This window comes from Homo sapiens, chromosome 7, assembly GCF_000001405.40.
Source record: "Homo sapiens chromosome 7, GRCh38.p14 Primary Assembly".
In the NCBI taxonomy this organism is placed as follows: Eukaryota; Metazoa; Chordata; class Mammalia; order Primates; family Hominidae; genus Homo; species Homo sapiens.
The window spans coordinates 17,084,813-17,098,947 of NC_000007.14; the positions used below are offsets into that span (position 1 = coordinate 17,084,813).

Here is a 14,135-nt window from a genome sequence, read left to right on the forward strand (position 1 = left end):
TGCAGGTGTCCCCCTCAGCCTCCATTGATACCTGAGGAGTGAAGGATCCATGTTACTCCTGGGTCAGAGTGGAATTGCTGGCTCCCCACTAGGCTTTTACTCATACCTCTCTGGAAGTGGGTAGAGGAGTAGTGCATTTCCTTGTTATCAGAAAGCACGCTCTCTACAGTTTCAATTCTTATGACCTGGCTAAATTTTTATGGGTGCTTAAAAAGAATGTATATTCTTCTGTTGTTAAGTTGTGCTCTATAAATGTCTATTAGATTCATTTTGTTGTCAGTGTTGTAATCTATACTCTTGCTGATTTTCTGTCTAGTTGTTCTATAAATATCAATGTTGAGATAGGAGTGTTGGAATTTCCAACTGTTAGTGTTGGATTTGGAGAAATGGCCTCTTTATTGCTGGCGGTTGCTAAAGTTCTGACTCTCCACTTAACATTCTCTGACACCATCTCTGTGGAGGGAGGTTGAGGCACCTCAGCATAGCCTACCATGGGTAGAAGCCCAGGCACTTTGGTCCCTCCCTCAGTATTTGCTGGTGTGGGAATGAGCATAAGTGGAGCTGTAGGTTTTTTCTTCCCTCCCCGCCTCTGGTGTTTAGCTGGAATAGTCATTGTCTAAATATTTGTTTTTGTCTTTATTTCGATTTGGTCTTAGACTGCCTCTTTCCTGGTCCTTTTCCTACAGAGAAAAGGCTTTATTTCTTATATATTAATTTTTTGTCCATGCCTATCAGTGATTTCAGCTTCTTAGCTTCTTTTCTTTTCTTTTCTTTTCTTTTCTTTTCTTTCTCTCTCTCTTTCTTTCCTTCCTTCCTTCCTTCCTTCTTTTTTTTTTTTTGACAGAGTTTCACTCTTCTCACCCAGGCTGGAGTGCAATGGAGTGATTTCGGCTCACTGCAACCTCCACCTCCTGGGTTCAAGTGGGTTCTCCTGCCTCAGACTCCTGAGTAGCTGGGATTACAGCTAATTTTTATATTTTTAGTAGAGATGGAGTTTCACCATGTTGGCCAGGCTGATCTCGAACTCCTGACCTCAGGTGATCCACCTGCCTTGGCCTCCCAAAGTACTGGGATTACAAGTGTGAGCCACTGCGCTCAGCCTGCTAGCTTCTTTAACTGAAAGTCTTGGATATATGAGACCAAATGAACATCTAGGGAACTCAGCATCATATCATTTCTTAGGTCCCAGGGTTCATAGCCAATCTGCCTTCTTTTCTTGTTTTAGAATCATCTGCTGCTTGTTTTACATGTAAGGTCCAGGGTTTTAGTTTAATTTGTGGGAGAAACAGGAACAAGTGCATCAACTTCATCTTCTCAGAGGTGGAGCCAGGAGTTGTGCATATTTAACCAGTGGTATATTTTTCTAACACATCAGAGAGTTAATTACTGCCTAATCTGAAATGCAGTTCAAATCTTATGAATCTCTACAAATGAATGATTTATTTCAGGTCTAAATTATTCTCTCTACTCAGCAAATACACTAAAGTAGAATGCAGTACTGATACCCATGACATTGTGAGTTATGAAAAGTAGGAAGGTTGTTTTCCTCTTATATAAATATATCAAGATGTTTAAGGATTCTGATATAGAAATGAATGGTATAGTACTTCAATACTTAGAAAAAATAAAATGTTTTAATTTGTTCAAAAAACTTCTAGGGTCTTACTATTGATATCATGATAAAACATTTCAGTCAAATGAGTTAGAGGGTAAAGCACTAAATCTCGTGTCCTGAGAGTTTTCCAGCCTGCTTAGGCAGATACCAGGAACGTTTGTTTTGTTCCTGAACACGTTAAACACCAAAAAATATCACAGAGTTAAGCATTAACTAGACAGCGATTTCAAGCACATAGAAAAACATTAGGAAAGAACAATCAAGAAATCCAAAGAAATTTTGCCTAAAATTAAACCCTATAGCGTAGGTCAAATTTTATTCAAATTTTTAAAGATTATAAGATTGCTGGGATAAAACAAAGTCACTGCAAAATAAATTAATTACTGAAATCTTGTGGTCTTTCTTTAAAAGTTATGTCAAGTAAAATAAAGCAAAACCTTGATTATCTATCATATTCCTAGCTTTGTGCTACCATTTTGGTTTTTGCAAAATAAACACTAGTAAAGCTGACTTTGATTTATGAAATTCAGCGGAACTTTGCCCATTTTGAAGATCTCTTTTGACTAATAATTTTCAGGAAAAAATATAATTATATTTCCTGTAAGGTTGTGCTGCCAGGCCATGCATGGTAGGCTACCTATACACAACAAGGTAATTACAGAAATGAAATGTATGCATTTAGAAACTTTTGTGGAAAGTTGACATTGCAACAACATCCAAATATGTGGTCAGTGTATTCATCTCACTGAACAGATTCTGGACCAGTCCAGGTACTACTGAATTTATGTGTGAGCCCATGGGATACATACTGCTCACTAGGCACGTGCATGTGGAACACATATTAGTTCTGGCAGATAAGAAATTTAAAAAACAGAAAATGGTGCCAGGCATGGTGGCTTACACCTGTAATCCCAGAACTTTGGGAGGCTCAGGTGAAAGGATCACTTGAGCCCAGGAGTTCAAGACCAGCCTGGGCAACATAGTGAGTTGTCTCTACAAAAAAAAAAAAAAAAATTGAAATAAATTAGCCTGGTATGGTGGCACACACCTGTAGTTAGTCCCACCTACTCGGGAGGCTGAGGCAGGAGGATTGCTTGTACCCAGGAGGCTGCAGTGAGCCATGTTCATGCCATTGTACTCCAGCCTGGATAGCAGAGTGAGACCATGTATCAAACAAACAAACAAACAAACAAACAAATGGAAAAATGGGTCCTTTACAGATATCTTAGCATTGCTGCCAAGCACATATTATGTGGGTCTTACGCAAACATATTTATTTTAAAACTATACATAAATTATAGCTAATTTAGCAAATTTCTAAGTCAGCTCAAGTAAAATTTTTTTTATTTTGTGATTAAAATATTGACTAGAATAAGAAAACACAGCTAATCATTTTAATCTTATAAAAACCCTACCACAAGACCAGTGTTGTCAGAAATTGTAAAATGCTAAGTTATATTAGATTTCATTATTCCTCAAAGTTTCAAAGAACAAAATAAGTATTCAAGGGAAATTTTTAAATCATTTTACTCAGGAGACTTTCCTGTGCATTGAAAATAAGAATATACAAATAATCTGTCCACTTCTCTCACCTCCATTCCACCATCATTACTCTTGACCAGTGGTCTTCAAAGTGCAGTTGTCAGACCAGCAATTTTAATATCACTTGGAAACTTGTTAGAAATACAAATGTTTGTTCTTCATTCCAGACCTACTGAGTTTAAATCTCTGAGGCTGGGACCCAGCAATCTGTGATTTAATAAGTCATCCAGGTGATTCTGATGCACACCGAAGTTTGAGAACCACTTCTCTTTACCAAGATATTTCCATTACTCTTGGTTACCACAATAGCTTCCCAACTCTAATTCCCTTTCATTCCTTTCTCAACTCTATAGTCTGATCAATATTTAACAACAACAACAACAAAAGTCAGGTTTCTCTACCTATTAAAAAAATCAATGATTTTCTAATACTCTCAGGCTAAAGACCAAAATGTTTAACGTGATCTGTAAGGCACTTTAGGTCTGGTGCCCAGTCCACCTCTCAGGTCACTTCTAACAGCACTCCCTCCGCCTCTCAGCCCTTGCCCCTCTGGCTTCTCTCACGCCTCTCTACTGGCTTATCCCAATTCTTTCCTGATTGATTATCTCTAACACACCCTTTAGGAGAAATCTATTTTTCAGGAAAGTCTTCTGTAGCTTTCCAGGTTAAGAGTCTCCTGCATAATTCTGTAAATGTATAATTCTGTTGTTTAATAGACCTTGTATCTCCTAGCATCTATCCCAATTGCAATATTATATTCACATGTGATTATTTGACTGTTTGCCCATCCCAATATCACAAATTAGTGTGTAAGCTCCTAGATAGAAGAGACCATGTCTGTTTTTTGCTTTTCCTTGTTTCCCCAGAGGCTGGCACAGTGTTTACTCTGAGGTTGACATTCAAGAAATATTACATAACTTAATAAATGGCTGACTGCCAAATAAATGGACCCCTAACCTAGGAGTGGCTCATACTGCAATGGGACAATGATGGATGACTCTCTGGCTGTGCTCCCTGTTACTACAGTTTTTTTTTTTGAGACGGAGTCTCGCTCTGCCACCCAGGCTGGAGTCCAGTGGCGCCATCTCGGCTCACTGCAAGCTCTGCCTCCCGGGTTCACGCCATTCTCCTGCCTCAGCCTCCCGAGTAGCTGGGACTACAGGCGCCCGCCACCATGCCCAGCTAATTTTTTGTATTGTTAGTAGAGACGGGGTTTCACCATGTTAGCCAAGATGGTCTCGATCTTCTGACCTTGTGATCTGCCCACCTTGGCCTCCCAAAGTGCTGGGATTACAGGCCTGAGCCACCGCGCCCAGCCGTTGCTATAGTTTTTACCTTCCATCCACCTCAGGAACAGATACTGTACTGACACCATCCCAGGAGCAACCATCTTTGAAAAATAGGGTAATTCTTGCTCTTTTTTTCTGCTGCTACAATACAGCAGAGTATCAGCAGAGTCCACCATACTGGAAGAATTTCCATCAAGTATTACAGCTCAGTGTAAATTTTCCCATACCAAGAATTGAACAAACCAGTCATCAGTGGCATTCTTTTTATGATTCACTGGGCTAAACTGGGGATTCACCATAATTTACAACTTTTTGTGGAAAAAATGAAATCCCATTTTTAAACAATATCCTTACAAACATACCTACTTGTTTTTAGGGATTCACTATGTAAGCAGTAATTTGTTTATTTTTTTCTCTCAACACTCCCACTTCTGCCAAATTCAAATGTTTTTCACCAGCCCAAAACCTTCCGCATCCCCCTCTAAAATTTAGGACAGAAATTATTAAATATTATACTTGATGACTTTTTAAAATCTATTCCCATTTATTCTTCCTCTGGTAATCCTTAAAGGATAAGAGCTCTTGAATATGCCCCTTAATTAGTGATGTTGGGAGAAATTCTGTATGGCAAACCTAAACTAAAAATAAATGTTTCTAAATTCTAAAACAGAGCTTCTATCCCTTCTTAAGGAGCTCAGTGACCTCTTTGCCTCTCACTCTGGGGCAAATCAGCATGCCTCAGCCACTGAATGTTTTTCCCACTGGGTTGGAGGATTCCAATAATAAATTAACTTACAGGAGTGAACAATGGAGTAACTCCCCTTAAGGCCAAATCAGATGCAATCTGCTCAAAGTCCCAAATCAAGGAATATTTTAAAAATGTGGTTAACATAATGGATATTATTCATGCTTTGATCTTTTCAACATCATCCTCACAAAACAATCATCATCTGCATCATCATCATAAAATATGAAGGTGTAATTTTTATGTGTGCCTGGTAAATAATGTATATATTTATAATTCGCATTTTATAAGTTGCAAGGAATGTGTACATATTTGTGAATAAATAGAATGTTTATGTGTATATATGTATGTATATCTTTCTACCTATGTAGAAAGTCATCAAGTACGTTATGTGTATATATGTATGTATATCTTTCTACCTGTGTATAGGTAGAACCTCCCATATATGCATGTGTGTATATACCTGTCTTTCTAACTATACATAGAAAGATATCTATGTATAGGCAGAAAGATAGGTATATACACACATGCATATATATATATATATGTATACACATATGTATATATAAAGATATATGTATGTGGTTTCATATGTGTGCATGTTTGTGTGTATATATACACACATGCATATATATACACCCATATGTATATATGAAGATATTTATAAAGAAAATATAAATATATTATCTTTATATACACATATCTATGTATATATACACAAACATGCGCATATATAGGGGCACATACCTATTTTATTAAAAGACTAAAGGCAGCAAAGTGGAGCTGTAAACATGAAGGATAAATCATTTCATACCTGGAAGAGTGCTGTCTAAACACTGCCCATCACCTAACCAAGAGTCATCATCCCTAACTTTTTTTCATAATTGACTATTTCAGTTAATAGCCCTAGGCTTCAAGAAAGGCTGCGCATCTTGGAAGTATTAGGGCATGAGTCATGAGTCTTGATTCTTCCAAATAAAATATGGTAACTCTTTCTAGTGATTTGTTTAGGAATGTATGTGTAAGATGATGATGGGAAGTCTACTGGAATCTCTGAGAGAAGATTTTTCTTGCAAAAAATAAAAAGACCTAATGAAAGAACACTCTGTTTGGACCGTTAGTCTCTTTTGGTGAACAGTAAGTGGTAATGAGAGAGGCTTAGCTGAGTTTTTGGCAGTTCTTTCAAAGCATGGGAGCAAATCTTATGTCTTGAAATCCATAAGGTAAATATTACTCAAATGTCTAGGTTGTAAAAATATATATTGTAGGCAAGAAGAAGTCAGTTTTTTAGTTATGTATTATTATATGATTCCCTGAGAGGCCATATGAGATAATACCAAAACCACACAAAGAAGAATGAGGACACTGATGTAGGACAGAATCTGGAACAGCCCAGAAACATTAAATGTGTCATTATAACAAGAAGTGTAGGTATCAGGTATAGGGACTGCAGCAGGTAGAAACCAGATCTTAGAACAGTCAGGAAAGTTCCCAGAGCATATTCGGAGTTTGTCTAGACTCAGGAAGTATGCCTAAGTCTAGAAACATCCTAGAGAGCTATGTCCAAGAAATCATCCGATATTTATACTTTCAGTACTGATAAGATTAGGCAGACCCTACAAAATTATTCCTCTTTTTCATTACTAGGTTATTTCTAAAATGAGATGAAATCCAAAATAATGATATTCTATATTCCCTATAGATAAGGATATGTACATTTTAAAAAATTATCTTTGATATAAAACATTGGTGTTGGTGTAATATTGACCATCATCTCTGCTTACCATTTATTTTATGTCCAGAAAAATAACGATCTTGTTTCAAAATGTACACAGTCAAGAGACTTAGAAAGTTAGTGGCCAACATGCTCAAAAATCTCTTGAGTTACAAAAATAAATTTTCTTTTCTATGAGGTCACCCACCTAAAGTGTAGGAACATAAGTGAGTCCTCAAAACCCAGCTTTACACAGGTTAGAAACTTGTCCTCTTAATTTAGTATTTTAAATTTAGTGATCCATGCAGTAGTGGACATGTTAATGTACATAAGGAAATTTTCATTTTATGTAATATCTGTGGTTTATCTATAGGAAATTTCTTTTTATATGAAAAAATCTTTCTTCAACAAAATGGATTTTGTAGTATTAATACACCTTGAGTCATTAGGTGTCTCCAGTTGATAAATATTATGTAATCTGATGGTCCTAAATGTATTGGATCAATTGTATGACAATCTGTTTGATTAATTGGCAATAAATATAGAAATGGCTCCAAAGCTGGTGATATTGTATCACTCTTTTGTTGTGGTATGAAGTATTGGCAGTATACAGCTAGAATGCTCACCTTGTCTTAATGTACATTCTTGAATCTACCATCTGAGTTATTTGGCCCATATTGTCAATTACATTGGCCGACAGTCTTTTATTTTTTAAGAGACAGAATCTCACTCTATCACCAGACTGTGCAGTGGTGCGATCATAGCTCACTGCAGCCACAACCTCGACCTCCTGATCTTAAGTGATTCTCCTGCCTCAGCCTCCCTAGTAGTATGCCACCGCGCCTGGCTAATTTTTTTAGAACATTTTTTGTAGGGACAGTTCTCTCTATGTTGCCCAGGCTGGTAGTGAACTCCTGGCCTCCAGGATCCACCTGCCTTAACCTCCCGAACCGCTAGGATTACAGGTATGAATCATGGTGTCCAGCTGCAACATTAACTCTGCTCCAACTGGACCTGAAGTGGAAAAAAATTGTTAACTTGCCTGTAGTATTTATTTTATACATATCTTCTACAGAAGAGATTTCAGAATTTATAGAAATATTTTAAAAAAATCATTTAGTGACAATAGAAATTTTAGTGTCATCTTCCTTATACATGCTTAAGCTCTTAAAATTTCATTCTCAAAGAGGAAATCTGGATGTAGATAATGAATATCATTAAAATGCGTATGTAGGAATTCTTGAAACTGACACTCGTTTCGGCAACTGGCAAACCTCCTCTACTGGAAACAGCCCTGGGCTAAGAGTCAGATGATTTGCACTCTGATTTACCAGCTAGAAACCTTGGATAAGAGACCTAACCTCCTTAGTCTTATATTCTCATTTGTTAAATGGATATGACCATATCTTCTTTAATTGATTTATGGGGTATGTTGTAAGCATTAAAATGATGAAGGAGGTAAAAGCTTTGTAGAACATGTATGCTATTTAGATACAGCCATTTTAACATGGCAATTTAGACTCAGTTGATCATTTTGATATTATTTAGCATAATTTTTAAAATAATGTATTGATTAGGAAAGATTTGGATAAATAGTTTAGAAAAACCCCACTAAATAATGATGGCAGAAACAATGTATTTTTCTCTCTGAAAAAATTCTCAGAGGTACCAATCCAGGGCTGGAATGGTGGCCCCATGATGCCGTCAGTGGACCAGGGGGCTGTCTCTCCTCTCCCTTGTCTTTGTATAGCTTCCATCCTTAACACTGCCTCAGTGAGTTCTAGCCACTTCATTTGTAGTCTCTGCAGGAGGAAGAAGGAGACGGAAAGGGTAAAAGGACTTCTTTCTCAGCTGTCATTCCACTGCAAAGCAAAGCATCTTCCTGGAAGACACACACAATGACTTCTGCTTGGCTACTCCAAGAGAGTCAAGAAAATGAGTCTTTAGCTGAGTTCATCAAGAGTTTACTGTGGTCTATAAAACAAATGATCAAACTTCTGCTTTTTCGTTACAAAAAAAAATAGTGAAAAGCAAATCTGTATCTCTTTCTTGAGACCCACTCTTCCCTATCCCTGAACCTCCCACGTCCCTACCCCTTCTCCCCAAGCTGAGAAATGGGACAGTAATGCTCAGATGGAATGAGAGATGGGCTAACGCTCAAAGATACCTCAGAAATGTGTACTTGGAAATAAAGAACATGTGTTTAATTTTTGACGTGGTCACTTTATTTGAAAATATTAAATTCTCATTTGTTAATTTTTTGGAAAATATTTATTGAACACCTACTCTGTGGTAAATATGACAGAAAATGTTTATACAGATGGTTATTTCAAAATGTAAGTGCATTAGAGATATTAAAATATGGCAAATTCAGAGCATAAATGAGGTGGGTACAGGGGCAGTATTTAGATGAGATGGTAGGAGGTAGAATTTAGACTGAAATCAAAAACCAGTTCTTTAAAAAATTGTGGTATTCCTACTATTAACACTGATGGCAAGCCTTATAACTCACTGGACACAAATGCATGTGAGGTCTTGTCACTTTGTTTCTTTTCCATGTAAGTCACTCTAGAATTGCCAGTGGTGGGTTATACAGGGGAAAAGAAATTATGAGAACCAGGCCCACATAAATATTTCTTCTCTTATTGTATTAATCACTTACCTACTGAACTAATTATCACTGCATGTGTTACTCTAATGTGATTAAACCATATTCAAACAGCATTGCTAATATCCCACGAGAAACTCAGTAAAACTCCCAACAGACCTAGGCAGTAAAAGGGAGCATCAATATAATCTTTTTCCCTGTTTTTACTTATGATGAAACAATACCATTTTGATTTTAAAATCATCTTGTTTTAGATTATGTATGAATGTAGTTATAGTATTTTTCACCAGCAACCGCTTGCCTTCTCTAAAGCTGACAATTCTTTTTTTTAGTATGAGGATTTAGATTCTATTTAAGTATTGTAACTATTAACAATAAAGTGACAGTTCCATCCAACAGCAGTCGTTGGGCACTTGCAATATACCATGTACTGTACCAGCACAAGATAAGACAAAAATAAAGTATCAGGAAAAAGGCTAGATTTCTTAAACCCACTTGCCCACGTCATCATGTTATATTTATGGGACCATGGCCACATACTGCCTAAACCCATTGAACCAAGAGTAAAATTTCCATTTCTACCTAGTCAACTTCAATCTATTAATGGCTCCTTTTTCAATGGGGAGAGTCTAGGTGCATTCACTTTAGATCATTATCTATGTTTGTGGAATCAATTTGTATCCATTTTAGACTATGGCCTATGCCAAGAAGAGGGGAGTTTATTACTTGCCTTCAGGGCTCTTGATTCATCTCCTTGCGTGAGCAGCCTGTGAGCCTGCCCAGTGTTTGAGAGGAAGCTCCTTGTATTGGAGCACATGTGGTTTGGCAGAGCCTGGTGTGAACATGTAAGTGCCAGTAACCAGTGCTGTGTTCCAACGCTGCATGCTCATTATAATCTCAGCCTGATCATTATCATGCCTCTGGCAGGGCCTGCTTCAAAGGAGCCTTGCTTGTGATTTGAGGGAAAAAAGCCAATAGAAGACACATCTAGAAAAACTGGTTGGCATTGCTTTGTGTGATTCAGCCCTGGATTATTCCTATAAAGGAAGAGAAGGCAGAGGAGGATGGTCTCAGACAATGCACCGTCATTACAGTTGGACGATATTGGGATGTTTCTGCTTCACATAAGCTTTTAAATAAATGCATATGCATTTATCCCATGATTGCCATGTGCAAACCACCGTGGAGGATCATGAAGATGTAAGACAAACATCCTGATCTTTGATGAGCTACAGTTTCATTGGGTAGACATGATCAATATACAGGAAAGAGGACAAAAAATGAGAATTTATGATAATGAAATAACTAATGAGGTTCATACTGTAATTGCTAGGAAGGCTCAGGCAAGAACTTTATTTTTTAAGGTTTACAGTGTACTTGCTTCATGTTTTGGATCAAGCAGAAGCACCACAAAATGTTTTCATAGGTAAATCAAGGGCAATAACATATTCATTCAACAAATACTTCTTGATGAAAGACTGACTTAATATTCACTCAGAGGTAGATTCCATAGAGTTAGAACCTAAGAGGAAATCTATTGTGACATATATTACTTGTGATATGCCAAGGCTTTGTTTTGCAAATTAAAATTCTTACAGTGCTAGACAGGGTGAAGGGTGATGACAGTAGCCACTGAGGCAGCCACTAATCAGCTCTAGTTCATTGTCATCAAAGATGAACGCAAGCTTAGTGTTGCTGAGTCTTCATATCATTTCAAGTGAAGCCAGAAATAAGAATTCTGAAATTCCCTAATATATAAAGCATTCATTTGTGGGTTGGGAGGAAGTGGTGGCTGTGGGCATGTGCCTGCTATTTCCAAGAGCCATCAATGTGCGGTGCTCTTGGCAGCAGTAGATCTCCATCCAGCTTTCCTCACCAGCTCTGGGCATCAAGGACAGGATTGTAATGTGTTTTAAGAAAACACTGCACTGGAAACATGCTAATCAATATGTAAAGTACCCAACCACTCCATACTAGATGTAAAATAAGAGATGTATTTGAAGGGGTTTTGGAAGCAAACATCTAAATGGGAAATAGAAGCAATTATCTTTCTAAATATCATCCTTAATAGTTTTTTCAATTTGGAAAAAAAGAAAAAAAAGCTGTAGCTGCCTTTTCTTGTTAGAAGTCTTACATGAGCTAATCTTTCTGATTTGCACAGATTACTATGTGGCAAAGCCTTGCAACTTGCTTTAAGCTTCTGTGTGTCAGGAAGGTAAGCAGGGATTTCAATTCTCTCATGGGCTCTTGAGTGGATAGAAGTGTTGAGTAACAAAACACACCTTTTCTTTGCACCTGCTTTAACTGAAGAATTCAGGAGGCTAAAGAAATCGGCTTCCCTTCCTTTCCCCATTCTGTAATTTTTCATCCACCAAATAGGATTGGATAATCAAAATAAATGATATGAGACCCTCATTTCACATTTTATGATAATATCCTCCAAAGGATGCTTGTTCACTCTTAACAGTATCTCTTGGTTACCATGACAAGGAAGAATGGGAAAACCACTCTCACATTGAAAGGAATCCCTTGTTTGTTTCGTTGTTTTGTTTTGTTTTGTTATTGAGTTGTACTACTGTTAACAAAAGACATCACAATGAAGCACATCTCATCTAATAACCCTTGTGTAGCTCTAGTCATGTTAGTGGTTCTGTAGCCCTGGTGCCATCCAAGCTCCCCAACAGAATCTCCCATTGCCACTGAAGTCCAGAGACCCAGAATGTGAAGTAAAACTGGTCCACAAAAGAAGCTGTTTTTCGTGGCCACACTGCAATCTCTGACATTCAGCAATTATCTAGGATCAGGCAAATGGGCAGAGAGGGACTCCTTCCCCTCCTGGTATCCTAAGTGACAGCTGCTCCATGTCACCAAAGCTCTTTTTTTTTTTTTTTCAGATCAAATCCCCACTTCATGAAAACTAAAATTTAAATTAAAATGTCTGTTTTGGGGGATGGATTATAATTATATTTCTATTCAATGATTCATATATAATCTTTGGTCTTACAGAAATATCTTAAAACTTCCACATTTTTCATCAATATTTTTCTAGCAGCATAGGGTTTGTGTTCAGCCATTTGTGAAGACTTTTACACATAATTATTTTTCATTTGAAATGCCTTCTGAGAAGAATAATAGTAAAAGTATGATTAATTAAACAATTACAGAGTGAGTCAATTTCTTGATTTCAGGTTTCTGATGAAGATAGAATTCTCCCCAGCCAAATTTCCAGTGAACTCTCCAAATTATTAGAATCAGGGGAAATACATTTTTATTTCTGGAACCAATATTAAAGGTAACTCATATTAGCTAGATTTTTCTCTGAGAATGAACTAAGTTTGCAGGAACTCCATATATATGTGTGCATAGATAGATAGATAGATAGATAGATAGATAGATAGATAGATAGACAGAAAGACGGACAGGCAGACAGATAATCTCCAAGAAGCCCCGAAGAAACCTGCCTGCTGCATTTCTGCATTGCTTTCAACCAAAAGCCCTGTGGGAATAAGGCAATACCAACACTGTGATGCATGATTGGTCTCAACCAGTATTTAAACAAATGAAGGTCTGGGAGGAGACAGGATGTGGGAGAGACCCCCACCACAAGCCCACCACCTTCACCTGTTGACATTAAAATATCCTCAGCTCCCAGGTCTGTGTTTTCAATTCATGTATATTAAATGATTCAGAGTCTGGCAGGAGGAAACACTCGTAGGAGTGTTTTGTTTAGTTGTGTTTCGTAGCTGCGATGTTTTGAAAATCAGGTTTTTTTGAGAGCACATAGCTAGATAACAAAACTGGCACAGAGTTCCAGGGTTGAAGACAGAGAAACTGAGAAACAAGCCATGGGACCTGGATTATGTGGGTCATACGGACAAGAATGCATGCGTGGTATCTTCTCACAGTGTTCAGGGACTTGTTATTGCTGTCACTGTTTTTAAATGTGATTTCTGTACAGATTCACTCAGTGTGACTACATCTGGATTGTTCAACATTGTTCAGTATTTCCTCTTATGACCTTAAGAAGAAGAATAATTTTGTCAAGGAAAGTGCTAAATTAATAGGGTATTTTTAATGTACTTAGACTTTGAGAAATTTTTGATGATTTCTGAAAAGTTTAATAATGCCATCTTAGGCAGAGAATAGTTTCTCATACATCCATGAAGAAAAAAAAATGAATTAAAACTCAAATCTTAAGCAAACATAAAGGATGAATTTATTTAATATCACAAAGAGTAAATTACCATTTGTTCAATGGTAATAATTGCTTTAGAGGGGGAAAAAACAGGATAGAAGGACTAGCAAGTGCCTGAAGGGTAAGGATTGTGGGGTGTGGTTTATAATTTTAAAGTGGCTGTTTGGCCTGCAGGGTGGCTCACGCCTGTAATCCCAACACTTTGGAAGGCTGAGAGGAGAGGGTCACTGGAGCACAGAAGTTCAAGACTGCAGTGAGCTATGATTGTACCACTGCACTCCAGCCTGGGTAACAGAGTGAGAGCCTATTTCTAAAAAAATAAAAATAAGTTAAATAAATACATAAAGCAGGTGTTCAAGGAAGTGAACTGCAAAGTGACATTTAAGCAAAGACCTGAAGAAGGTAACAAAATATATAGAAAAATATT

At 37.3% G+C, this 14,135-nt stretch overlaps 1 long non-coding RNA gene across 1 annotated transcript in view, besides 2 other annotated features; it reads right to left on the reverse strand.

Annotated features, from left to right (window-relative positions):
* Window positions 1-14,135, reverse strand: part of LOC124901596 (uncharacterized) — a 33,197-nt gene that overhangs the window by 18,500 nt on the left and 562 nt on the right. The window lies entirely within an intron of this gene.
* Window positions 10,200-10,344: an enhancer, noted in NCBI's record as "145 bp 7:17134708 sequence used in MPRA reporter constructs". NCBI's record gives its function as "activates a minimal TATA-containing promoter with rs117132860 allelic activity by MPRAs in UACC903 melanoma cells {active_cell/tissue: UACC903}" and the evidence as "EXISTENCE:reporter gene assay evidence [ECO:0000049][PMID:36423637]".
* Window position 10,272: a transcriptional cis regulatory region, noted in NCBI's record as "rs117132860 or 7:17134708 MPRA-significant variant associated with a GWAS melanoma risk locus at 7p21.1". NCBI's record gives its function as "allelic transcriptional activity by MPRAs in UACC903 melanoma cells {active_cell/tissue: UACC903}" and the evidence as "EXISTENCE:reporter gene assay evidence [ECO:0000049][PMID:36423637]".